The 25693-nt window shown below is 45.6% G+C and overlaps 4 annotated features.

The window, feature by feature from the left end:
- Positions 65 to 279: a silencer, noted in NCBI's record as "fragment chr5:79380002-79380216 (GRCh37/hg19 assembly coordinates)". NCBI's record gives its function as "represses an EF-1alpha promoter that drives an FKBP-Casp9 reporter gene in an ReSE screen in HepG2 liver carcinoma cells {active_cell/tissue: HepG2}" and the evidence as "EXISTENCE:reporter gene assay evidence [ECO:0000049][PMID:32094911]".
- Positions 1712 to 2006: an enhancer, noted in NCBI's record as "tiled region #11102; HepG2 Activating DNase matched - State 9:DNaseU". NCBI's record gives its function as "activates a minimal TATA promoter and a strong SV40 promoter by Sharpr-MPRA in HepG2 cells {active_cell/tissue: HepG2}" and the evidence as "EXISTENCE:reporter gene assay evidence [ECO:0000049][PMID:27701403]".
- Positions 18010 to 18139: a silencer, noted in NCBI's record as "silent region_16134". NCBI's record gives its function as "represses an Ori minimal core promoter by ATAC-STARR-seq in GM12878 lymphoblastoid cells {active_cell/tissue: GM12878}" and the evidence as "EXISTENCE:reporter gene assay evidence [ECO:0000049][PMID:35858748]".
- Positions 18150 to 18219: a silencer, noted in NCBI's record as "silent region_16135". NCBI's record gives its function as "represses an Ori minimal core promoter by ATAC-STARR-seq in GM12878 lymphoblastoid cells {active_cell/tissue: GM12878}" and the evidence as "EXISTENCE:reporter gene assay evidence [ECO:0000049][PMID:35858748]".

Consider the following 25693-nt stretch of genomic DNA (forward strand, 5'->3'; position numbering starts at 1 on the left):
AAAACACCACAGTTTTATCATGACTTTAACAGTGAGAAAATACAATGGTGCATGCATGAGATCTGGAGGATTTCTGGACATCCTCCTCTCATGTACAGCCTGGAGATGTGTGTGGCCTTGTAATCCAGGACATCTGATCTCCTACATCAAAAACTCCAATGGGGCCAGGTGTGGTGGCACTTGCCTGTGGTCCCAAGCACTTTGGGAGGCCAAGGCAGGCAGATCACTTGAGGCCAGGAGTTCAAGACCAGCCTGGCCAACGTGGCGAAACCCATCTCTACTAAAAATACAAAAATTAGCCAGGTGTGGTGCCACTTGCCTATAGTCCCAGCTATTTGGGAGGTTGAAGTGGGAGAATCACTTGAGCTGGGGAGGCAGAGGCTGCAGTGAGCAGAGATTGCACCACTGTACTCCAGCCTGGGCAATGAGAGTGAGGCTGGTGAAAGGAGGCAGCAACCCACACCATGCCCACCCCTGGGGCAGCCTCCCTGTTGTCGGCTGTGCAAGCCCAAGAACGCAGTATGTCCACAGGAAACAGACTCTCTTGGTTAAATCTTTTGTGTCTATAACTATTTTAGAAACCATGGGCCCACAGGAGATCCAGAACATAATTCCATCCCTTAGGGAGCTTATTACATTTTTGGGAAGACAAAACTTGTTATTTATGCAAAACAAGAAACAAAGACGCATGTAGAACCAGCAGTGTGCTGAAGCCAACTCCTACCAGCTCATAAGAGCCAACTATTCAAGTTTTAGGAATATTGTGAGCCAGTTAAACGGTTGGTAGTTTGAAATTGGCCATGGTGGGAGTATTTACACAGAAACTGGCAAACACTACAAATCAGGGCTCCAGAGAACTGGTTGTTAAATATTTATCAGCACACAAGTGATTATTCTACCTTGTCCTATTCCTAGTTGGCCCTCCTTATATTTTTGAAGCTGATGTAGAAAACTTGAGGCTTTCAGAAAATTTCTTGCATAAGAAATGAAGTAAGAAAAGTGAAAATGGGTGGGGTGCTATGGCTCACACCTGTAATCCTAGCACTTTGGGAGGCCTAGGTGGGAGGATCGCTTGAGGTCAGGAGTTTGGGACCAGTCTGGCCAACATGGTAAAACCCCATCTCTACTAAAAATACAAAAATTAGGCCAGGTGCAGTGGCTCCTGCCTATACTCCCAGCTCCTCAGGTGGCTGAAGCACAAGAATCTCTTGAACCCGGGAGGCGGAGGTTGCAGTGAGCTGAGATCGTGCCACTGCACTCCAGCCTGGGCGACAGAGCAAGACGTGTCTCCAAAAACAAAAACAAAAAAAAAAAAAAGTGAAAATCAGGAAGCACTTGAGAGAAGCTAGCCAGTTGCAGACTGACGGGATGAGCTAGCAGGTGTGGTATGCTCTCCCCCAGGTAACTCCCTGGGCTTCTTGGATACTTGTTATACTCAACCTTAGCACAATGACTCAAATTCCTATTACAGTTCCATTAGGTTAGTAAGAGCCTCATTTGAATCTTACACCTCTAGGACTGAGTGGCCATCAGTCTCTCACCAACTAGTATGAATTCATTCCAATGCCCATTCACCTCCTGACTTTTCATGGAGATCGAGAAGACTGAGGAGCTGGGCATGGTGGTGTGCACCTGTGGTCCTGGCTACCTGGGAGGCTGAATGGGGAGGATCACTTGAGCCCAGGAGTTCAAGTCCAGCATGGGCAACATAGCAAGATCCTGTCTCACTTTTTTTTTTTTTTTTTAAGTACTGGGGGAATGGGAGGCGTGGCTGGGAAAGAAAAGAGGCATTGTCACTGTGGGGGAATGGGAGGCGTGGCTGGGAAAGAAAAGAGGCATTGTCACTGTAGGGAAAAGATCATGGCTGAGTAGAATCCCACGGGAAGTGTGGGAGATCTCTGGGGGCAGGATGAGGGCACTGGGGGCAGCCAGAGGAGGCCTGGGGGCATGGGAGCAGGTGCACAAAGGGATGTGCAGCCCTTTTTGCCTACACTCAAGAAAAAGGAAAAAAAAACTCTTCCTTCTCCCCATCCAGGTTATTAGTCCTAGGCTCCAGAAGTATTATGGTGATTATCCTTAGGTTAATTTTGGAGACAGGCTATAGAGTTAAAGAGAATGAGGAAGATATAGAATCCAGCCACCTGCTATTGAAACATCTGTAGGCATTTTTTATTGCCTAGGCTAGAAGATAACTGGGAACAGACTCAAGCAGCAAAAAAGAATCTGGTCCAGAAGTGAGGCCGTGGGCAAACTAGATACTGTACAGCATAAATCTAGGGGTGAGAGGTGGGGTGCCCCTGTTTGGGATACACGCCTGGGGTCCCCAGTAACATCGGGACTGTAAGGGTGGCTCAACCTTTCAGTGGCATGAAGAAACCCCCTGCAGTGTCCACAGCTCCGCATCTTACAGCCCCGCCCAATTTGGTCATAGGCAACCTCAGGAGACAGAGACGCTCACCCCAAATTTCCTGGGGCAGTATAGTTTCCACAGTGGGTGAGGGTGTTTTATTCCAGAGAAATAATTCTAGTACTATAGAATTAAGTATAGAGATGATGAAGTAAATTGGACCCATCATCCTAATATTTTTGTGTGGTGTTGGGGAATTATGTTTGAATATGTGGCAACGTACTTGAAATATCTAAGAGAATTTGGCATAATTAGAGAATGCAAATTGAACTTGTGATTCCAGTATAGAATGCAGACAGATGCTCTTCACCTTAAAATGGGGCTATGTCCTAATAAATCCGTAAGTTGAACATATCTTAAGTCCAAAGTGCATTTAGTACTCCAATAAACCCAAGTCAAAAGTTTAAGTCATCCATCATGAAGTCCAGATACTCCTCAATTTAAATAGGGTTATGTTTTGATAAAAATCGTCAAACCATCATTAGTTGGGAGTTGTTTATAGTTGAATATTTGGTTTATCATCATCATCATTATTAGTATTATTGAGACAGGATCTCACTGTCGCTCAGGCTGCAGTGCAGTGGTGCAGTCTCAGCTCACTGCAGCCTCAACCTCCTGGCTCAAATAGTCCTTCCACCTCAGCCTTCCAAGTAGCTAAGACTTACAGGCTCATACCACCATATCCAGCTAATTTTTTCTATTTTTTTTTGTAAAGATGGGGTCTTACTGTGTTGCCCAGGCTGGTCTCAAACTCCTGGGCTCAAATGATCCTCCTGCCTTGGCCTCCCAAAGATAGTATTTGATTTTAGACTTGTGATTTTAAGTCAGAAGGTAGGAGAATTTGGTTGAATATGAAAATATTGAGATGATTAAGATAATTTCTCATCCATTATATACATTTTTTAAATTTACAAGTTATATAAGCACATAGGTAGGTTTCATCAAATGACAAAAAAATGCATAAATGAAATTTAAATATATTGTTTTTAATGTTACAAATTAGCATAGTATGTCATAAATTAATATATTACATTTATAAATGGGATTTAGAGTGTTTAAGGAAATTTAATTAAGTTTGCAAATGGGACTAAACATTAATCAAAAGCCTAAAAGTGATTATATATTTTGCTATAGAGTAATAAGTAGATTTGCATATTTATAGAATATAGTAAAGTAATACGATTTTTAAGTTGAATTTTTTAACTTAAGGTTTTGTAATTTGTAACTTTAATCAGATACTAATTTTAAAACCAAAGTCACCATAAATTGTGTTTTCTGTAAAAGACAACCTTTCCTTCAGGAATAAGGAATGCCTCCTACAAGCTCCACATTTTACCACCTCGCCCAAATCGTTGGTTAATAACCTCAGACAATTGACATGCACCCCAAATTTCCTGAGGCAGTAGAGTTTCCTTAGTGGAGAAGGGTCTTTTATTCCTGAGAAATAATTCTACAATTGTAGAACTAAGTACAGATATGCTGAAGTCAATTGGACCCATCATCCTAATATTTTTGTGTGGTGCTTGGGAATTATGTTTGTATATGTGCCAAAGTACTTGAAATATCTAAGAGAATTTGGCATACAGAATGCAATAAATTCAATGTGGGATTCTAGTTTAAAATGCATACAGATGCTCCCTTACTTACCATGTAGTTACATCCTGGGATAAACCCACGGCAAGTCAGAAATATCATAAGTGAAAATGCATTTTATATATATATATATATATATATATATATTTTTTTTTTTTTTTTTTTTTTTAGATGGAGTCTTGCTCTCTCGCCCAGGCTGGAGTGCAGTGGTGCGATCTCGGCTCACTGCAAGCTCCGCCTCCTGGCTTCACGCCATTCTTCTGCCTCAGCCTCCCGAGTAGCTGGGACCACAGACACCCACCACCACACCCAGCTAATTTTTTGTATTTTTTTAGTAAAGATGGGGTTTCACCGTGTTAGCCAGCATGGCATTTAATATCTTGATAAGCCCATCATAAAGTCAAAAAAATCTTAAGTCAAACCATTATAAGTTGGGGATTGTCTGTAGTTGAGTATTTGATTTCAGACTTCTGATTTTAAATCAGAAGGTAGGGAGAATTTGGTTGAATATGTAAATGATACTGAGGTGGTTCAGATAATTTATAATCCACTGTATAAATTTTTTTAATTTACAAGGGTTATTTAAGTGCGTAGGCAGGTTTTGTCAGACAAGTGACATAAAAATAAAACATTATAAATGCAATTTAAATTTAGTTTATAATGTATTACAAATTAGCATAGTATATTGTTATAAATATATTAAATTTATAAATGGAATTTAGAGCATTTAAAGAAATTTAATTAAGTTTACAAATGGCACTAGACAATCAAAAGCTTACAAGTGATTATAAATTTTGCTATAAAGTAATAAGTAGATTTGTATATTTATAGATGTAGTAGAGTCGTAAGATTTTTAAGTTGAACTTCTATACTTAAGGTTTTGTAATTTGTAACTTTAATCAAACATTAATTTTAAAAACCAGTCACCATAAATTGTGTTTTCTGTGTATGAAAGCTACCCTTATAAGCAAATAACAAAATCAATAAAAAACAGCACAGTGACAGTCAGCACTGATTTTTTTTTTATTGAGGGGTGGAGATCTGGAGAACTGCATCCTCAATTCCAAATAAGGGGCTAACAATCATCCCAGAACACTGCCCTTTTCTACATTGGGGACTGTCACCGCACAGAGGGATTAAGGACCTTGATTCAGCTCTCCCTGACTCCAGGGCATCACCAAGCAGCTGGCTGCAGCAACGCTGGGGGCCTGAGCTATCCTGCTGTCAGCTCTCAAACCCCTCATTTTCCAGGACACATGGCCTGAAGAATGCACTAGCCCCAACTTGGGGCCCTGGTGTGGCGATGTGGCAAGGAGCACCTCTCTCTTCTCCCTACTACATCAAAAATTTTAAGGATGCCTAAACATGTCTGCTTATCTGGAGGGCTGGGGTGAATGAGACGTCCAGAATGAAAGCTCTCCTATTCTGACTGCGCCACCTGACTGAGAAGTAACTTTAGCTTATTTCCTTGGCTCATCATAAAAGAACGAAAAGTATTTTCCTCACATTGTCTACCTCCTCAACTATGGAGTGGACATGCATCCACGCCTTCAACTCAGGTCTTTGAGAAAAACAACTTTATTTCCCAAATTTCACCTTGTTTTTCTTCTGAGAACTTATTGTGCCAAACTCAAGAGAAACATAACCTCAGTCTTTCTTGGGGTTCCCATTCTTCTTCCAGAATCAAGACTCTAGGATGTCTTCTCAGAACCAAGGTGTTTGGGGAGGGGGACATCTATCCACACAGATTCCTTCTAACGTGACCATAGTCAGCACCCACCCCCCATACTCTAACAGACCACACTGGGGACCTCAAATCTGTGTGAACCTTTGCAGCCATTCCTTTACTGGCCCCTTACCTATGGACTGCAGAAAGCTCCCACAGGCCTCCCTTCCTTCTCTCTCAGCATGGGAGAATCCTTCTCAAGTATGAGGAGGGAAGCCTTATTCTCCCTTTTGCTTTTGGCCAAGAAATCTTATCCATTCCCGGTGTTCCTTCACTTACGCCCTGCTATGACTTGAATGTGCCCCCTGAAGTTCATGTGTTGGAAACTTAATCCCTAATACAACACTTTTGAAAATTAAGGCCTAGTGGGAGGTGTTTAATTCATGAGGGCAGAGCCCTTGTGAATGGATTAATGTCAGTTATAAAAGACCTTGAGGCTGTGAGTTCCATTTCTTGCTCTCTTATACTCTCTGCCCCTCCATCTTCCACCAGGGGATGACACAGCACAAAGGTCTTTACCAGATACCAGCACTTGATCTATCTTGGACTTCCCAACCTCCCATGTAAAATAAATTTCCTTTCTTTGTAAGTCACCCCATCTATGGTATTCTGTTATAGCAATACAAAATGGACTAAGACACTCCCACAAACCCCAGACTTCGACTATGGGCTTAGCTCTGGGTACACAAAAACTAGAACAGTTTGCAAGCTGGCTCTGACTCACACCACCACAGCCTCACTGAAATAGTGGGCCCAGAGTCCACTCTGCCAGAATGGGAGGACTGGGGCAAAGGGAAATATGAAAAGGAAATGGGTCAATATCTCAAAGTGCTACCACAACATATTGTGAACAACTTCAATAGCTAATTTTAAAAAATTCTTTTTTAGAAATGAGGTCTCACTATGTTACCCAGGCTGGTCTCACACTCCTGGGCTCAAGCAATCCTCCCACCTCAGCCTCCCAAAGTGCTGGGATTACAGGCATGAGCCACCACACGTGGCCTCCTACTGTTTAGATTTGTTCCTAAAAGATGCCTATGTTTAAACCAGGCCAGATCACTCACCCTAGAAATTCCACAAATAACCAATGAGCTGATGGCTCCAGGCAGACGGGTGGCTGAGCCCAGTTCCCATCCTGGCCTGGAGGAGGAGACCTAGGAAGTCACAGCTTAGGATACACTGGGGCGGGCGGGAAGGTTTGCTTTTATCCATCATCCAAGCTGTGATTCAGCGCATAAGTCTCCCTTTCATTAAGTTTAACTTGTTGAGTAACATTAAATTTATATACTGCAAAGCACAATAGAATTTCACTGCTGTGAACATACGCGTTCACAAGCATCATCCAACTAAGTGTGAGCATCTGCTGCCTCATTGGGGGTATTTACTAGTCATTCATTATTTATTTATTTATTTATTTTTGAGACGGAACCTTGCTCTGTCGCCCAGGCTGGAGTGCAGTGGTGTGATCTCGGCTCACTGCAAGCTCCGCCCCCCGGGTTCACACCATTCTCCTGTCTCAGCCTCCCGAGTAGCTGGGACGACGGGCACTCGCCACCACTCCCGGCTATTTTTTTTTGTATTTTTAGTAGAGACGAGGTTTCACCGTGTTAGCCAGGATGGTCTCGATCTCCTGACCTTGTGATCCGCCCATCTCGGCCTCCCAAAGTGCTGGGATTACAGGCGTGAGCCACCGCGCCCGGCCTAGTTATTTATTTTGCAGCACCTATTAGAGTAAACAGTAGCAGATATCTAATGTCTAAGAAAAATTTATGGAAGGAAGATTTGAACGAAAAATTTTCTCCATTAGCATATTTTTAAGGAGTTTTCCTCACAACAATTCCATCCCACTCCTACCCCTCCTACCAGAATTCTGAGGATCAGGGCTTGAGAACTAACATCTCCAAAGTCCCAGTAGCTCTGTGGTTTTCTACAGGCTCCTGGAGGATAAGGACCGTGCCATGTTTATCTCACCCTCCACCTCTCAATAAAGTACAAATTTGTGGAATTGGCGAGGCCAAGAGGCCTCAAATTCTTGTATCTTTCATATCATCCACTAGGGGGCAGCAATCCTCTAAAAATAGCCCCTAAACCAGCCACTTTTTTAGCTAAAAGATGACTAAATTTCATTAAAAGTAGAATAACAAACGCCTGTAATCCCAGCACTTTGGCAGGCCGAGGCGGGCGGATCACGAGGTCCGGAGACCGAGACCATCCTGGCCAACACGGTGAAACCCCATCCCTACTAAAAATACAAAAATTAGCTGGGTGCGGTGGCTTGCGCCTGTAGTCCCAGCTACTCTGGAGGCTGAGGCAGGAGAATCGCTTGAACCCGGGGAGCGGAGGTTGCAGTGAGCTGAGACCGCGCCACTGCACTCCAGCCTGGGCAACAGAGCAAGTATGTGTCTCAGGAAAAAAAAAAAAAAAAAAAAGAATAACAACAACTACAATTTATTAAACACTTACTCTGCTCCTAGCACTATGTTATATGCTAATAGTTCAGGGCTTAAGAACAATTTTATTGGCCAGGAGTGGTGTCTCATGCCTGAAATCTTACCACTTTGGGAAGGTGAGGCAGGAGGATCGCCTCAGCTCAGGAATTTGAGACCAGCCTGGGCAACATAGTGAGACCTATCTCTACTGAGAATGTTTTAATAATTCGTCAGGCATGGTGGTGTGCACTGTAGTCCCAGCTACTTGGGAGGCTGAGATGGGAGGATTACTTGAGCCTGAGTGGACAGGCTGCAGTGAGCTATGATTGCACCCCTGCCCTTCAGCCTGGGTGACAGAGCAAGACCCTGTCTAAAAAAAAAGAACTCTTATTTATCAAAACGAACATCTCAACAAAAAGCAACAACCACCACATAGGAAGGAAACCACCACCTAAACGTGAATTATTGCAACTTAGTCTCTGAACGAACACTGAAGCCTCGCTTTCTTTTAGGTATTGCTTCGCAAAGACTTCTGCCTTGTCCCTCAGCCTAAATTCACAGGATAGAGTCTTCTCCATGAGCAAAGCAAAGAGCCATTCATCTATCCACTCATCATTCACTCATTCTTCAGACACACACTGAGCAATTACTACATACCAGGCACTGTGCTAGATACTGGGAGGGATTTTAAAAGTACACAAAGCCAGTCCATTTTAGTCCAGGCCTCTGTATGACTGAAAGCCTTTGTCTTACTATTAATAATACTGATCATAACTGCAAAATTATAGTGTAGTTTAGAATTAAATGAACCTGGCCGGGCGCAGTGGCTCAAGCCTGTGATCCCAGCACTTTAGGAGGTGGAGGCGGGCAGATCACTTGAGGTTAGGAGTTTGAGACCAGCCTGGGCAACATGGCAAAACCCATCTCTACTAAAAATACAAAAATTAGCCACGTGTGGTGGCATGCACCTGTAGTCCCAGCTACTTGGGAAGCTGAGACAGGAGAATCACTTGAACCTTGGATGCAGAGGTTGCAGTAAGATTGTGCCACTGCACTCCAGCCTGGGCAGCAGAGGGGGATTCCATCTCAAAAAAAAAAGAATTAAATGCACCTCAAAGCCAACCACTAGATTCTCTCGCTCTGTTTAGAAGACATTTGTTTGTTGTAAGAACCCAGACTTAATCCTGAGAGGTTTTAGCGGGGTCTAAAGAGAGCCTCGTCCTAAACATCCCTGCCAGGAAGAACACTTCCAGGGAGCAGGGGGCAGGCAGCTTCCTGGCCCAGGACAGTCTGCATGACCTAAATTACTTGAGTCAAAAATTCTTTGGGCCATATAGTGTTTTGGTGGTTGCTGTTGGGTTTTCTATTTGCTAACTTGAGCAAACATTTAAAATTTGAGTGTTTTTAGACAAAAACCTGGATTTCCAACTTCTCTTTAAAAAGTCAAAAGCTCCAGCCTCCATCTGCATTCACGCACAGGAACCTTGAAAAGGGCCTGTGTTGTCCATGCACCGCAGTGTCCACACATGTAAGTTTCTACCTGACTCTGTAAGTGATCGAGTATGAGAGTCCGTACTTGGGATTTCCCAGGTACCCTGTGCGGCCTGCAGGGGATATGGAGAAGGTTGGGACTCAACCCCTCTTGTGGCAGGCCAGGTCTCACGAATAGCTAAACAGGCAGGCCTCCATGACAACTGTTTCAGCACTGACTGAGTGCTTAGGTTAAACATTAAAGGCTGCAAGAGCCAGTGTCCTTACACAAAGGCTGGAATGTGACAAAAGCCACCAAGAGTCTTGCCTAGGCCTTTCCTGGGCCTTGAAGCATGACAAGATAACAAAGAAATTCTTACATTCCTCGTACCCACGTTTAGGATTAAACACGTTTTATTAGGGGTCAGCAAAGAACTCCCCAGACCGCCATAACTCAGCGGGAGGCAAGATAAGGGTAATCACCCCCAGCACCTGGACCCATCTAGATTAAATAAACTTACTGAGGCTCCGGAGGAAGGTCTCCAGGACTCAGATCTTAGTTATGGATTACAGGGAATCAGTCACTTGTGTCTTTTGATGAATCCACACTTACATGTAGACATATAGCTTCATATAAGCACTGGAAAACTTTGTAAATATGAGTCGGTCTGGTGATATTTTCCTGGCCTTCTGCCTGTACCGGGTTACAGAAATAAACTCTCTTCTTTCCCAGTTTATCTGCATCTCATTACTGGGCCATGAGAACAAGCAGCCCAACCCTCAGTTCAGTCTGGGAACACTCTGGCTAACAACCTGTTAGGGGTTGTCACCACTGCCTGGAGAGGATAGGGGTACACTGGGGGCCAGCCGACAGGAGCTGAGGTCTCAGGTAGAAGATTCCTACCTTATCAATAGATGGAAAGAGATTCAAACCCAGCATCACTGACTCTGGTTCCAAAATCTGAAATTCTTTTATAGCGACAGCACACATTCACCAGGTATGCAGAGAAGAGTTAACAGCAGGTCCGAGATGGCTGCTGATCTTTAGTTAGAAAGGCCTAATTGCAAAGTTGGCCCTTGGCTGGTATCTGAGCACTTGGCTTTCCAGAGTGTTCCCACCATTTCTGAAACTGATAAGAGTGGTTCACCATGTCTTGACTGTACAGTGTGGTTTATGCTGAGCATCTGCTTTCTTTCTGGGAGTTGGAATTTTGGTACATGGTAGGGAGAAGGTGCCTACAAGACGAGACCCTAATAAAAACCCTGGGTGTTGAGTCTCTAATGAGCTTCCCTTGTGGCCAACATTTCATATCCCTTGTCACAACTCATTGCTGGGGAAATTAAGCACATATTATGTGACTTCCACCTGGAGAAGACTCTTGGTAGCTTGCCCCCCTGGTTTTCTCTGGACTTGGCCCCATACACTTTTCTTTCTTTTTTTTTTTTGGTGCTGATTTTGCCCTGTATCCTTTCACTGTAATAAATTATAACTGTAAGAATAACTAGATGCTGAGTTATGCTTCAGCCAATCACTAGATTCTATTTAGAGGGCATTTGTTTATTTGAAGAACTCAGACTTACTTAATCCTGAGAGTTTTTACCTGGGTCCAAAGAGAGCCTTGTTCTAAACATCCCTGTCTAGAAAGCCTCCGATGAGACTTTCTAGCAAACCACTTAAATGTAGTGGTCTTGGAGACCCCGAAACATCAGTCAACTATCTCCAACAACTGAAAGAGGCTTTGGGCTTACAAAGTGCAAAGAATAATTGAGGTGCTAGGTCATCACAGGCATCACTAATGAGAAAATAATGGAAAACAGGGGCCTAAAAGTTGAGGCCAATCACCACAAAACACCTGCAGAGCTGGAGAAGCAAAACTCAAAGTGGAGACCCCTGAGATTGGACACATGACAAGGGACAGAGTCTAACTGAAGTGGTTTATTTGGTTAGTCTCATACCTAGAGAAATTTAAGGTGAGGCAGTCACCCCCAATACCAGCTCTACCCTTCTTTCATAGTCATAGTGTCCCAAATTTTTGCAGGAACCCAGATGCCCAGAATAAAAGATTATACTTCCCAGGTGAGTTGTGGCCATCTAAGTTCTGATCAGTGGCATATAAGCAAAAAAGTTCATGGTAGCTTCTGGGAATCTTCTTCTAAAGAGGGTTAATTTTTTTTTTTTTTTTTAAATGGAGTCTCACTCTGTTGCCAGGCTGGGGTGCAGTGGTGCAATCTTAGCTCACTGCAACCTCCGCCTCCCGGGTTCAAGTGATTCTCCTGCCTCAGCCTCCCAAGTAGCTGGGATTACAGGCATGCACCACCACACCCGGCTAGGTTTCACCATGTTGGCCAGGATGGTCTCGGTCTCTTGACCTCATGATCTACCTGCCTCGGCCTCCGAAAGTGCTGGGATTACAAGCGTGAGTCACCACGCCCAGCCAGATCATTAATATTTCTTATTCGTCCTCTTATCCCTCCTCCTAGGCTGGAATATGGATATAATAGCTGGAGTTCCAGAGGCTGTCTTGAGTTGATGAGAAAGCCTTGGGAATAGAAGCGTCATCACAGAGAACAAGATAGAACTGACACCGTGGAGTAACATACCAGTAACAGACCATAAGATTTCTATCACTGGACTTTGTGGACATGAAAAATCTCCATCTGTTCTTGGGGCTTTACTGTTACTTCCAGCTAAATTTAATCCTCCTTAATGCAAAAGAAATTCCGGATGGGGAAGTGTTTATAAAGTCATGTATCCAGAACCATAGACTCACCAAATCTTAGATCTGAAGAGTCATCAGGAAGCTTTTTGTTTCAGCCTTTTCATTTTACAGTTGGAAAAACTGAGGCCTAGTCACCTCTGTGGTTTGTCAGGGTTACATGGCTAGTTAGGAGCAAAACTGAGGCCAGATCCCAGGTTTTGGGGCTACAGGCTCATGGTTCTCATTTTCCTGCTATGAGAACTGCCTCAGGTAGGCCAGGGCAGGGGTAAAGTCCAAAAGGGGGTTTCTGTCTAGAGGACTCAAAGAAAAAGCAGTGTCGGATTGCCGTAGCTCACGCCTGTAACCCCAGCACTTTGGGAGGTCGAGGCAGGTGGATCGCTTGAGCCCAGGAGTTTGAGACCAGCCTGGGCAACATGGTAAAACTCCATTTCTTCAAAAAATACAAAAATTAGCTGGATGTGATGGTATGTGCCTGTCGTCCAAGCTACTTGGGAGCCTGAGGTGGGAGGATAGCTTAAGCCCTGGAGGTTGAGGCTGCAGTGAGCTACGATGGTACCACTGCACTCTAGCCTGGGTGACAGAGTGAGACTCTATCTCAAAAAAAAAAAAAAGAAAAGAAAAGAAAAGAAAAAAAAGAAAACATGCTGATAGACTGTACGTGATGAAATTTCAGAGATCTCCTGGGAGGCCATCCCGCTTCCAGTTTCGATGGGCAGAGACTCAACAGTGGAAGGCAGGTATGACCTGGGACTTCTCAGGCCCCAGCTTCCCTCCTCTTCACCTTCCTCTCACCCATCAGACTTCACACCTCCCTCTTCCCGTGGTGTTCAAACCTAAGTCTATACAGAGTGCCTCGAACCCATATGGTGCTTAGTGGTGGAACCCGGGCTAGATTTCACCCCACCTGTGCCTTCTTGGCCAGTCCCTCTATGAAGTACACAGACCGACAACCTTTTACAGAGGACTGGGCTTGACAAAGAGCTCGCTTGGATCCATCTTGCTTCCCTGTGCGCACCCGGCCCCACTCACACCGAGGGAGTTTCGGCCCTGCTGGAAACACCGTGGCAGATGCTTTGGTGGCCTGCCCATTTCTTTCACTTTGTCATTCACGGATGTCAAAGCACCAGCACCTGCAGTTCTTTGTTTCTGGGCTTCCTCTGGTGCAAAAGCTGCTTTTTCTGCCTATGTTGGAGGTGCGGGGGATTTAGGAGACCTAAGGAATGGGCTCCAGTGAGATGAAGGGAACGGGTGTGTAAAGCCTCAGCCCCTCGCCTGGTGGGGGCTGAGTCTGAGGAATGTGCCCTGCATTGTTCCCGCATGATTAGGCTCCAGCTGCCCCCAGTGGTAAGGCCCCTCTCCTCCCTCTCCTCCCTCCCCAGTCTAGGGGTGCTTCACCTCCCAAATAAAGAGGGTTCACTCATCCTTATCTCAGGGTCTGCTTCTGGGGGAGCTGACCAGAAGCAAACCTTCCTCAGCACTCAGATTTTACTTACTCCAAAATTAGGGAATATTAAGTTTGAACAGATACCCTGTGCTCAAAAGCATGCGCACAGACATATATATAGAAATTTCGGGCCGGGTGCAGTGGCTCACGCCTGTAATCCCAGCACTTTGGGAGGCCAAGGCGGATCACTTGAGGCCAGGAGTTTGAGATCAGCCTGGCCAACCTAGGGAGACCCCATCTCTACAAAAATAATTATTTAGCTGAGTGTGATGGTGGACACCTGTAGTCCCAGCTACTCGGGAGACTGAGGTGGGATGATCACTTGAGCCTAGTAGTTCAAGACTACAGTGAGCCATGATGGCACCACCGTACTCCAGCCTGGGTGACAGAGTGAGACCGTATCTCAATTAAAAAAGGAAATTTCCAACTTTTCTCTGAGCCCACTACCCAAAGACAATCATATGCCTCAGCCACTCAGCTGAGCTTTACTGCCCTTCCAAGAATAGCCTAGAAATCCAGTAAGGACAATGGAAACTAGAAAAATGAAGAGACACTGATACTGGATCTAATTCATATTTTTAACCCCACTCACCACCTGCAATCACACCCACCCACAGCCTTCAGTAAGTGCTCAGTAAATATCTGTTAGTCAGCAAAGCTACTGGGAGCACACACTCTGCCCCTGCGCCATACACCCTGCCCCCAACCCCTGCTCTATTATGGTGATTTCCCCACTCCTAGTCTCTCTGCACAGAATGGTGAAGAAACTGCATTTGGTTTTTTCAAACTATTCTTCAGGCCGGGCACAGTGGCTCATGCCTGTAATCTCAGCACTTTGGGAGGCTGAGGTGGGCAGATCACAAAGTCAGGAGTTCCAGACCAGCTTGGCCAACATGGTGAAACCTCGTCTCTACTAAAAATTAAAAAAATTAGCCAGGCATGGTGGTGCGCGTCTGTATTCCCAGCTACTCAGGAGGCTGAGGCAGGAGAAACGCTTGAACCTGGGAGGCGGAGGTTGCGGTGAGCCGAGATCACGCCATTGCCCTCCAGCCTGGGCGACAGAGCAAGACTCTGTCTCAAAAGAAAAAAAGAAAAAAAAAATACAAAAAAAAAACCTATTCTTCTGCACCCTCAGGAGAATGGGCCAGGAACATGCTCTTGAAACAGGCTGCTTGCTCAGAAATACATTTCCATATTAGCAGGCGCAGCTGTCACTCCTGCTGGAGGCCTGTTGGCTTCTTGAGAACTGCTAGTCTCACCATTTGCCACATGCCCAACAGGAAAATTTAATTCACAGAAACTCAGAATGCCAGATTCCTCCTCCCTCCCAACTCAGGGATCCCCTCAAGAGCCTGCCTGACAGCTGTTATCTCCTTCATGAACACCTCAAGTGACAGGGAACTCACCGCTGTATGATGTAGCCTATCCTATTGTTGGAAGGCTCTAGTTACTAATAATTCTTATTAGTAAACATCATCTATTAAACATTTGCTATGTGCCAGCCTCTATTAAAAGTAATTTAACTAGCCAGGTGTGGTGGTGTGCACTTGTGGTCCCAACTACTTGGAAGGCTGAGGCAAGAGGATTCCTTGAGCCCAGGAGTTCAAGACTGCAGTGAGCTATGATCGCGCCACTCTACTTCAGCCTGGGCCACAGAACAAGACCTCAACTCCTTTAAAAATAAAAATTAAATGAAATGTGCTTAACCTGTGTCAACTCATTTAATCATGACAACAATCCTATGAAATAGATGCTATTGTTATTACTCCACCTGACCTGACAGGCAAGGAAACTTACAGCACAGAGAAGTAAATAATTAGCTGAAGATCACAGAGCTAGCTAGCAAGTGGCAGAATGCAATTTCAAACAAAAAGTGGCCTTTGAGAGCTTTCCTCTGTTGCCTTTTTTCTACTTGGGGCAGAAATCTTCCATCCTATAAGTGAGCCTTTTTAGGTCCAGATCCTTGTGAAATTGTGATGAGTGCCAAGGACCCTTTCCATGCTACTGTGCATATGGTCACAAAACTCTGCATATTATTTCAGGGAGTCAATCTACCCCAGTCCTTGGACCCCAGGTTAAGAACCACAGCTAACACAAAATAACGTTGCTCTTGTATCTATTTGGAAATTCTCTTATGAACTTTTTTATTTCTAACAGACTTTCTCCAAGCTTAATTTTCCCTATTTTTTTATTTTTTTCAGACAGAGTCTTCCTCTGTTGCCCAGGCTGGCATGCAATGGTACAATCTTGGCTCACTGCAACCTCTGCCTTCTGGGTTCAAGTGATTTTCCTGCCTTAGCCTCCCAAGTAGCTGGGATTACAGATATGCACCACCACGTCCAGCTAATTTTTGTATTTTTAGTAGAGATGGGGTTTCACCGTGTTGTCCAGGCTGGTCTCGAACTCCTGACCTCAAGAGATCCACCCATCTCAGCCTTCCAAAGTGCTGGGATTACAGGCATGAACCGTCGCGCCCGGCCAATTTTCCCAGTTCTAGATGAAAGAATGTTCAACCACACCAATACTCAAAGATAGACAAATTCAAATAATAAGGTTAAGGTGTTATTTTGTACCTTTATAACAACAAACAACTATAAAGAAAATACTCAAAAATCAAGTGCTGGCCAGGTGCAGTGGCAGACACCTATCATCCCAGCACTTTGCAAGGCCAAGGCAGGTGGATCTCTGAGCTCAGGAGTTCAGGACCAGCCTGGGCAACAAGATGAAACCCCATTTCTACAAAAAATTAGCCAGGCACGGTAGTGCGCCTGTAGTCGCAGCTACTCAGGAGACTGAGGTGGGAGGATGCCTTAAGCCTGGAAGGCCAAAGCTGCAGTGAGCTATGATCACACCACTGCACTCCAGCCCAGGCAACAGAGCAAGACCCTGTCTCCAAAAAAAGAGTGCTGGGAGGGTTGTACTCCTGTTGCTGCTGCTATGGTACCTGTATACACTACCATTAGAAATTTGGCAACACACAGGAAAGACTGATGAAAACACCCATAAGCTTTTGACCCGGTAATTCTACTCCTCAAATTTATTCCAAAAAAATAATTTAGATGGAAATAAAAGTCACATGTAGAAAGATATTTATAGCAAACTTTTCTCTAAGAGCCAGAAAAAAAAAAAAACAATGTCCAAAAAAACAACTGGGAAATTATAAGCAAATATGGTCATTAGCTTAATGGAACATATAAAATAATGAAAAGCATTAAAATAACATTTAGGAAAAAATGTGGAAGGTGGAAATCAACATGATGATGATTGTCAATTGTGGGGTGATAGGGTGGGGATGCCCAGGGAACTTTCAATTCGCTTTTTATTGCCTCACTTTAAAAAGTGAGAGACCAAATAATCAGAACAAAAGCAGCTCAGAGGAAAGAGAGAGAAACTATAAAGGATCAGAGGATCCCTCAAACCAAAATGAAACAAAACACTATAAATAATATCCTCTATGAAATATGAAAAGATATGCATCCACGAAAGAGAAACAGAAGAGGATGGGGTGTAATCAGAAAACATGAAAGAAGGCCTGGCATGGTGGCTCACACTTGTAATCTCAGCACTTTGGGAGGCTGAGTGGGGCGGATCCCGTGAGGTCAGGAGTTCGAGATCAGCCTGGCCAACATGGTGAAATCCCATCTCTACAAAAAATACAAAAATTAGCTGGGTGTGGTGGTGCACACCTGTAATCCCAGCTACTGGGAGGCTGAGGCAGGAGAATTCCTTGAACCCGGGAGGCAGAGGTTGCAGTGAGCTGAGATCGTGCCACTGAACTCCAGCCTGGGAAACAGAGCAAGACTCCCATCTCAAAAAAAAAAAAAAAAAAAAAAGATAGAGTTATTGGAGATGGAGTTATAACAACTGAAGTAGTAAATTCAACAGAAACTCTGGAAGATAAAGTAGGCTAACTATCCAGAAAATTGAACAAAAATAAATAGAGAGATAGAAAATGGGAGAAAAGATGACCAATCCAGAAGACCCAATATCTACCTAATAGGAGTCCGCTAAGAGACAACAGAGACAATCTCCAGGACAGAGAGTGTAACTGGCCAAGCCAAAGGCATGTGCCCAACCCATGGCTAGGTAGGAAAGGGAGGATCTGGCCCATTTGGGTCTAGAAGGAAAGGGCACTGTCTCCCCCCACAACCCAGGAGTATGGTCCCCCAAAAGGAAAAGTAATAGATGCTACTAGAAAATGAGGGTTAGATGATATACAGCCAAGAGCTACCACTGTCCACTGCACAGGAACCTCTGTTGACTCCTAGTAACCACACCTTCTTCTCTAAATACTCATAGAGCACTTTCAATAGGATTTTTGCATCCTGTCAAATGCAAAACCTCCCTCTCTAGGCCTGTTGTGCATTATCATAGCTGAGATGTGTACATCCTACATGCCAATTGTTTCTCATGAGTTATCTCATTAAAGCCTTACAACAAAGCAAACAAGAAAATCATCTTAATAACCCCAATTATAAATCAGGACACTACTGCCCAGAGCGGTTAAGAAGCATGCCCAGCTTCACCCAGCTAATAAAGAGATTCAAGCCAGGATTTGGACCTAGTACCCTGACCATGGAGCTCGCACTCTTATGCCACAGGACTTTATGTACCTCTCCCTGGAGGCTTCTCGGTGCCTCCAGTGACCCCGATGCCTCACTGCCTTCTGGACCCCAAAGAGGATCTAAAGTAGGTCGTCAAACAGCCGTGAGAGCCTCCATTGAGCCACACACCCCGAGTTTTCTGCATGCAGCCCAGCACCTAGCTCAGAGAGTCCCTGGCATGCTTGGTCACCCTAGGAGGTCCATTAGCCCTCCCAAGTCACCAGGGTGCTGGGAGCCGCCACTAGATCTCAGCCCTCCTTCACGTCACACACCTCACTCAGGGGCTGTCCACAGGCTTGCTCTGGCTGTAGCATGGGAACCCCTGCTCCTTCTTATCTGGTGCAAGGAGCCCAGGGGATGCCTTTAAGGAAGGTCAGCCCTGTCGGTGAGACATGTTGTGCAAAAGGCAGGTTGACTGGAGAAAAGTCATACACGTTTATTTCACATTTATACACAGGATCCTTCAGAATGAAAACCCAAAGATAACGCGGAAATTGGCCATACTGATGCTTAAGATTAACGAAGTATGAACAGCTATGTACAAATGCGACTGGACAAAAAAAGGGTATGATCTAATGCTGATAGACTGAGCTGGGAGATTCAGTGAGGCCTGTGTAGATTCTTGGCCTCTCTGCACAGCATCCCTTTCTTCTGTGTGTGGGGCAGGACCCTCTCGGGAATGGGGGAATTATGACCTACAGTCAAACAAGGTAAGTCGGATCATTTCTTTATGGCCAGTTTTTACACAGAAAGGCAGAGGGAAAATAAGAGTAATATTTTTAGGATTTATGGCTGGCTTTGGGGAAAAGAGGTTCTGGTTTCTATGGGGAAGAGGGATTCTAGTTTCTAAGGCTAGACTAGGGGAGAACGCGCCTGAGAGAAAGGAGGGCAGGTATGCAGAGAAAAACTTTTAACTTCTGAGGCTTTCATTTTAGAGTACTCTTTTCTGAGTCCCAACAGTGGGAAGCCAGAGGAAGCAGAACTGTACTTGTGAGAGCCCCCAGACAGCTGGCTCTTCCCCCACGCAGCAGCAGTCAGGCCCCAGAGCTCCTCTTGCACGACAGCACAAGGGCAAAGCCTGTCTGGGCTGGTGGAAGCTTCCGTGGGTCTGGCTGTATTGGGGGGAAGACCTGTCTGGGAGCCTCTTCAACTATTTATCTGTTCTGCCTTCCTCCCCCTTGCTCCTGTCCTTTGAACGCTAACCTGGACACAGAAGCTCTCAGCATTTAGGAGGCCTTAATTGCAGCTCCATTTAATGTAAGATCTCTTGAAGTGGGTCCCAATCTTAGGCCACAAGTTCAGGTGTACAGAAAACAAACCATTTCTCTTTGTCTTTTTTTTTTTTTGAGATGGAGTCTTGCTCTGTCACCCAGGCTGGAGTGCAGTGGCGCAATCTCCACCTCCCGGGTTCAAGCAATTCTTGTGCCTCAGCCTCCCGTGTAGCTGGGATTACAGGTGTGCACCACTACGCCTGGATAATTTTTGTATTTTTAGTGGAGACAAGGTTTCACCATGTTGCCAGGCTTGTCTCCAACTCCTGACCTCAGGTGATCCACCCGCCTCAGCCTCCCAAAGTGTTGGGATTACAGGTGTGAGCCACCACACCCAGCCAACAAACAATTTTTCTGTCACAGAGTTTAATTCTATTTGATTCCTATCCTGCCAATGTGGCAGAAACATAATCTCTGTTGATTTAAAATTTACCCACATCCTGAACCTGGGATCTTGTCAAAGTCCCACTGAGCTCTGGGAGATGGGGTCTTTATTGTCTTTTGTCACACAGGTGTCTAGAAGATGCCACCTATTGTCACTTACTTTGTGTCTTACACAACTGCAGACCACTATTCAAAGGCTATATAGTTTGCTCTCACTGCTGTAACAAATTATCACAAATATAATGGCTTAACACAACACAAACTTATTTCTCACAGTTTCTGTAGAAGTGCAACATGGGTCTTACCAGGTGGTGGCTGTGCTGGGCTTATAGCTGGAGACTCTGGGAAAGAATCCTCTTCCAAGCTCGTTCAGGTTGCTGGCCCAGTTCAGTTCTTTGTGGGTAAACTTGCTAGGTGGCAGCTAGGGTCACCCTCAGCTCCTTAGGTTCCTTCTTTGGTCCTTGCACATCATCCAGGAGGCATCAGATCTTTCTCACGCTTGGAAGATCATGGACTCGGCCTTCTGCGGCATCTGACTCTTCCGCCTTCCTTTTCTGCTTGATTACATCGGGCCCACCTGGATGTGCTGGGTCGCCTCCCTATTTTAAGGTCAGCTTATTAGTAACCTTAATTCCACCTGCAAAGCCCCTTCCCAGCAGAACCTAAATTTGTGTTTGATTGACCAAACAGGGAGAAGGGAGAGTATCTTTAGAGTTTTGCCTACAGCAAAGGCCACTGTGTGAGCACATCCCTGAAGGTGTGCAGGGCAGCTGCCATCACTCACCTCTCAGCCCATTCACTAGACAGATGCCCTGTCAAGGTCATGGTCCTTTTAAGGCTGAAGGTTTGCTGCCCCTACTGCGGCTGTCTTGGGAAAGAACTGGTTCTGTTCTGAACCATGCTGGGATAGAACCTCTAGAAGGCAAGGTCCCGTCTACCTCAACACACACACAAGCCATTTCCTCTCTGGGGTCTCCCAGGGCTCTTTCTAGGTTGCAGGAAACAGGACGATCTGCCCCCTGTTTCCGACCTGTACCCCCACCTCTGCACTGTCATTGCTTTCCTTCTTCCCCACACCACCAAGGAAATCACCTTCTCATCAAACCTCCCATATGCCAAATATTTTGGCTAGATCTGGAGTCCTGTACACTCTGGAGTGGCTTTGGGCTTTTTGAATCCCAGGTCCAGTCCTGCTTTCCTGTCTGTCACATTCCACAGCTGAGGCAATGAGCCAGGAAGTCACCTGCTTGGAAGTTGGAGGGGGACAGGGAGTTGGAGAATGGCAAAGTGGGGTTAATACTGCAAACCTGTTTTCCTGCCACTCTCCTGACATGCTCTGTTCTTTAAAATGCCCTTGGCACCTGGTCCATCACAGGCCGCATCCTTAGCAACTAAGTTGGAAGAAATGGGGCTCTTTGGCCAGCAATGTCTTCCCGCCATGGGCTATACCTGCAGGTGCCGGGTGAGGAGGACTGCGGGCAGCTCTGAAGCCTCCACTTTTCCTTATGGGTTTTTTGTTCACTCTCCAGGGCCTAATTCAGATGTCACCTCCCCTGTGCGGCTTCTCCAACCCTTCAGATAGATGTGATCACTCCCTCCCCTGAGCCCCAGAACACTTTGTCCAATTTCCTGCACCCTCTGAGAGCGTGGCACAGGCCCCCTCCACTGTGTAACAACTCACAGCCCCTCCCTGCATCAGAAGCCCACCCCCTTCCTCCGGGGTGCCTCTTCTTTCTAGTCATAGTGTCTTCCCTCAGTAGTCTATCCCTCTGGGGACTCTGAATATCTTCCCTTCCCCCTCAGCAATCCCTAGCACACTTGCAGCTGTGAGGGCTGCACCTGAGGACAGAGCAGGGGCGGGAACCCCAGTCTTAGAGGCTGTTGTCATCAAAGTTCAAATGGAAGATCCTCTGAGAAGGATCTGCAGGGAGACCAATTGCCACCCCTAGGGAAGGCCGGGCTTCTGTGGTATCTCAAGCCCTGGGACCTAGAGGCAGCTTCCCGTAGGGAGCAGCCAGAAGGCCCTTTCCCTACCCCCTCACCACCCAGAGAGGCCTCCCTGGGATGCCCTCCCCTGAACCCTAGAGCTTCATGGGGATTGCTATGTTTGCACTGTGATGTCATTTCAAGGTCATGGTGATATGCGCTACAGCTGAGCAAGATTGTTCCCAGCATCAGATTGGAAGTTGAAAGAAAGGCTAAGTCACAAGAACCCAAGAGCTGGGTGAATGCACAGCTGTGCCCTAGGCCCACCAGCAAGGACCACATTTATTAGGCTCAGCCTCCCACACAAACGGTGCCAGAAAGTCTAAGAGAAGAAGGGGAACAGAGGAAGGGAGGGAAAGTCCTTTAAATCAACATGGTTTCATTGAGCTTCTGCACCATGCAGGGGCCTGTGGGATTGAGAAGGAGAATATAATCCTAGTCCTTGCTCTCAGGAAGCTTATCATCTGTGTAGAGCCCAAGAGTGAGCAGCTGGGTGAACAAGAAGTGGTGCAAGGGGGAAGAGTTACCACAGATGGTATAACAGTTTGCTCAGGCTGCCTGAAACAACAGAAAGTTACTGTCTTTACAGTTCTGGAGAACTGGCCTAGGAAATCAAGATGGCGGCAGAGCTGGTTTCTTCTGAGGGTTGTGAGGGGTCTGCTCCAGGCCTCCCTCGGCTTGTGGATGTCCATCTTCTCCCTGTGTCTCTTTACATCATCTTCCCTCTATGCATGTCTGTCTTTTCGCCCACATATCCCCCTTTTAAGGACACCAGTCATATCGGATGAGGGCCCATCCTAATGACCTCATTTTAACTTTTTTACCTCTATAATGACCCTGTTTTCAAATATAATCACACTCTGACATACTAGGGGTTAGGGCTTGACATGGTTTGGCTGTGTCCTCACCCAAATTTCATCTTGAGTTGTAGCTCCTGTAATTCCCACATGTCATGGGAGGAACCCAGTGGGAGGTTGTTGAATCAGGGTGGGTGAGTCCTTCCTGTGCTGTTCTCGTGATAGTGAATAAATCTCATGAGATCCGATGGTTTTATAAATGGGAGTTCCCCTGCACACATTTTCTGTCTTGCCTGCTGCCATGTAAGACGTTCCTTTCACCTTCCACCAAGATTGTGAGGCCTCCCCAGCCACGTGGAACTGTGAGTCCATTAAACCTCTTTTTCTTTATAAGTAACCTAGTCTGGGGTATGTCTTTATCAGCAGTGTGAAAATGAACTAATACAGGGCTCCAACATACCTTTTTTAGAGGGACACAATTCAACCCACAACAGTGGCTTTGGGGAGAAAGGAAGACTTGAAAGAGGAGAATTTCCTCATTCATCTATCTATCTATCTATTTATCTATCTATCTATCTATTTATTTATTTTTGAGATGGAGTCTTACTCTTGTCGCCAGACTGGAGTGCATTGGTGCCATCTCGACTTACTGCAACCTCCACCTCCTGGGTTCAAGTGATTCTCCTACCTCAGCCTCCCAAGTAGCTGGGATTACAGGCACCCACCACCAGGCCGGCTAATTTTTGTATTTTTAGTAGAGACAGGGTTTTACCATGTTGGCCAGGCTGGCCTTGAACTCCTGACCTCAGGTGATCCGCCCACCTCTGCCTCCCAAAGTGCTGGGATTACAGGTATGAGCCACCACACCCGGCCAGAATTTCCTCATCTAAAAGGGCAGGTTCCCAGGCAGAGGTAAACACTGGGAGGTTTTATACTTTGTGATTACTGAATAATTCCTCAAGGATGTTTTTCTAGATTTGAGGAACATCTTCAGGGACAGAAGATGCCACATTGGGCAGGGCTTCTTCATGCAGGCCCCAACCACAGGGGCAACAGAATCCTGGTCCCTGGGAGACTGTGCCCAGCCATGAGCATCAGCTGAAGCCACAACCTCAAACATTCCTACCAAAAGGGAAGCTAGCTGCTGGGATCCACATGAGGGCAAAGTGGAGATGAATTCAGAGGGCAAGAAGCAGCCAGTAGGGCAAGAGGGAGAGAGGACCTTTCTTCCTGACCCACCCCACACATACAATGGACTAAATATTTGTGTCCCCTTAAAATTCATGAGTTGAAATCCTAAACCCCAAAGTGATGGCATAAGGAGGTGGGAATTTTGAAGGGTAATTCAGTCATGAGGGCAGAGCCGTCATGATTAGGATTTAGTGACCACAGAGAGCTAGCTCACCCACTCTACCATGATAGGACACAGCAAGAAGGTTCCATCTATGAACCAGAAACTGGGCCTGGCCAGACACTGAATCTTCCTGCACCTTGATCTTGGACTTCCCAGACTCCAGAACTGTGAGAAATAAATTTCTGTTGTTTCTAAGACACCAGTGTATGGTATTTTTGTTTTAGCAGCCCAGACAGACTAAGACAACACACAAACAGGAAAAATCAGATACCTCCTGCTGCCTAGCTAGATGGCTTAAGAGTCCAGGACATAGACAGAGGTAGGGGCAAGAAGGCTGCTGGGCCTGGGCTTTACGTTCAAGAAAGGACTTTTAGACTTTTGATGTTATTTCCAACTGATGTTTGTTATGGGCCAAGTTGTGTCCCTCCAAAATTCATATGTTGAAGTCCTAACCCCCAGCAACTCAGAATCTGACTGAATTTGGAGGATAGGGTTAAGACGTCAGTCAGTTAAAAAGAGGTTGTGAGGGTAGGTCTTAATCCAATAAGGGTGTCTCTATAAGAAGAGGAAAATTGGCACAGACACACACAGAGAGAAGACCACATGAACACACAAGGAGAAGATGGCATCTGCAAGCCAAGGAGACAGGCCTCAGAAACCAACCCTGCCAACACCTTGATCCCTGACTTCCAGCCTCCAGGACTGCAAGACAATAAATGTCTGTTTAAGCCACTGGTCCTGCAGTAGTTTGTTATGGCAGCCCTAGCAAACTAGTATAAAGTTCTATCCATATGCCCCTGGGATGTGTTTCTAAGCATTCATTTTTAAAATGTAACATTTCTTAAAAATATACTGTAACATTTTAACTTGTTTTGGCATTTCTGCTTTTTTTTTTTTTCATGGGACAGTCTTGCTCGCTCGCCCAGGCTGGAGTGCGGTGGCACAATCTTGGCTCTCTGCCTCCGGGGTTCAAGCGATTCTCCTGCCTAAGCCTCCTGAGTAGTGGGGATTACAGGCGTGCACCACCAGGCCCGGCTAATTTATATATATATATATATTTTTAGCAGAGACAGGTTTTTACCATGTTGGCCAGGCTGGTCTTGAACTCCTGCCCTCAAGTGATCCACCTGCCTTGGCCTCCCAAAGTACTGGGATTACAGGCATGAGCCACTGGGCCTGGCTGGCATTTCTGCATTTTTAATACCTTGGGAACAACCACCACCCCTCAAAATGACAGTGGCTCATCTTTGTCAATTATACCTTAATAAAGCTGGAGGAAAATTAATAAAATGGACTACAAAAGAAGAAGAAGAAGAAGAAGAAGAAAAGAAAAGAAAGTAGCCCAAGTTCTCTGTACCTCCCAGATGCCCCAGTGAAGGGCCTCAGCTGTGATGAGAAAACCCAGCAGCCCAATTCCTGGCAACTCTCCTGGGATCTGGAATGATGGTGTGCCTGGGCACAGCCTTCCTATCTGGCCCGAGAGCCAGCTGGCACCATTGGAGTGAGGA

The sequence above is a fragment of the Homo sapiens genome, chromosome 5, assembly GCF_000001405.40.
Source record: "Homo sapiens chromosome 5, GRCh38.p14 Primary Assembly".
Lineage (NCBI taxonomy): Eukaryota > Metazoa > Chordata > Mammalia > Primates > Hominidae > Homo > Homo sapiens.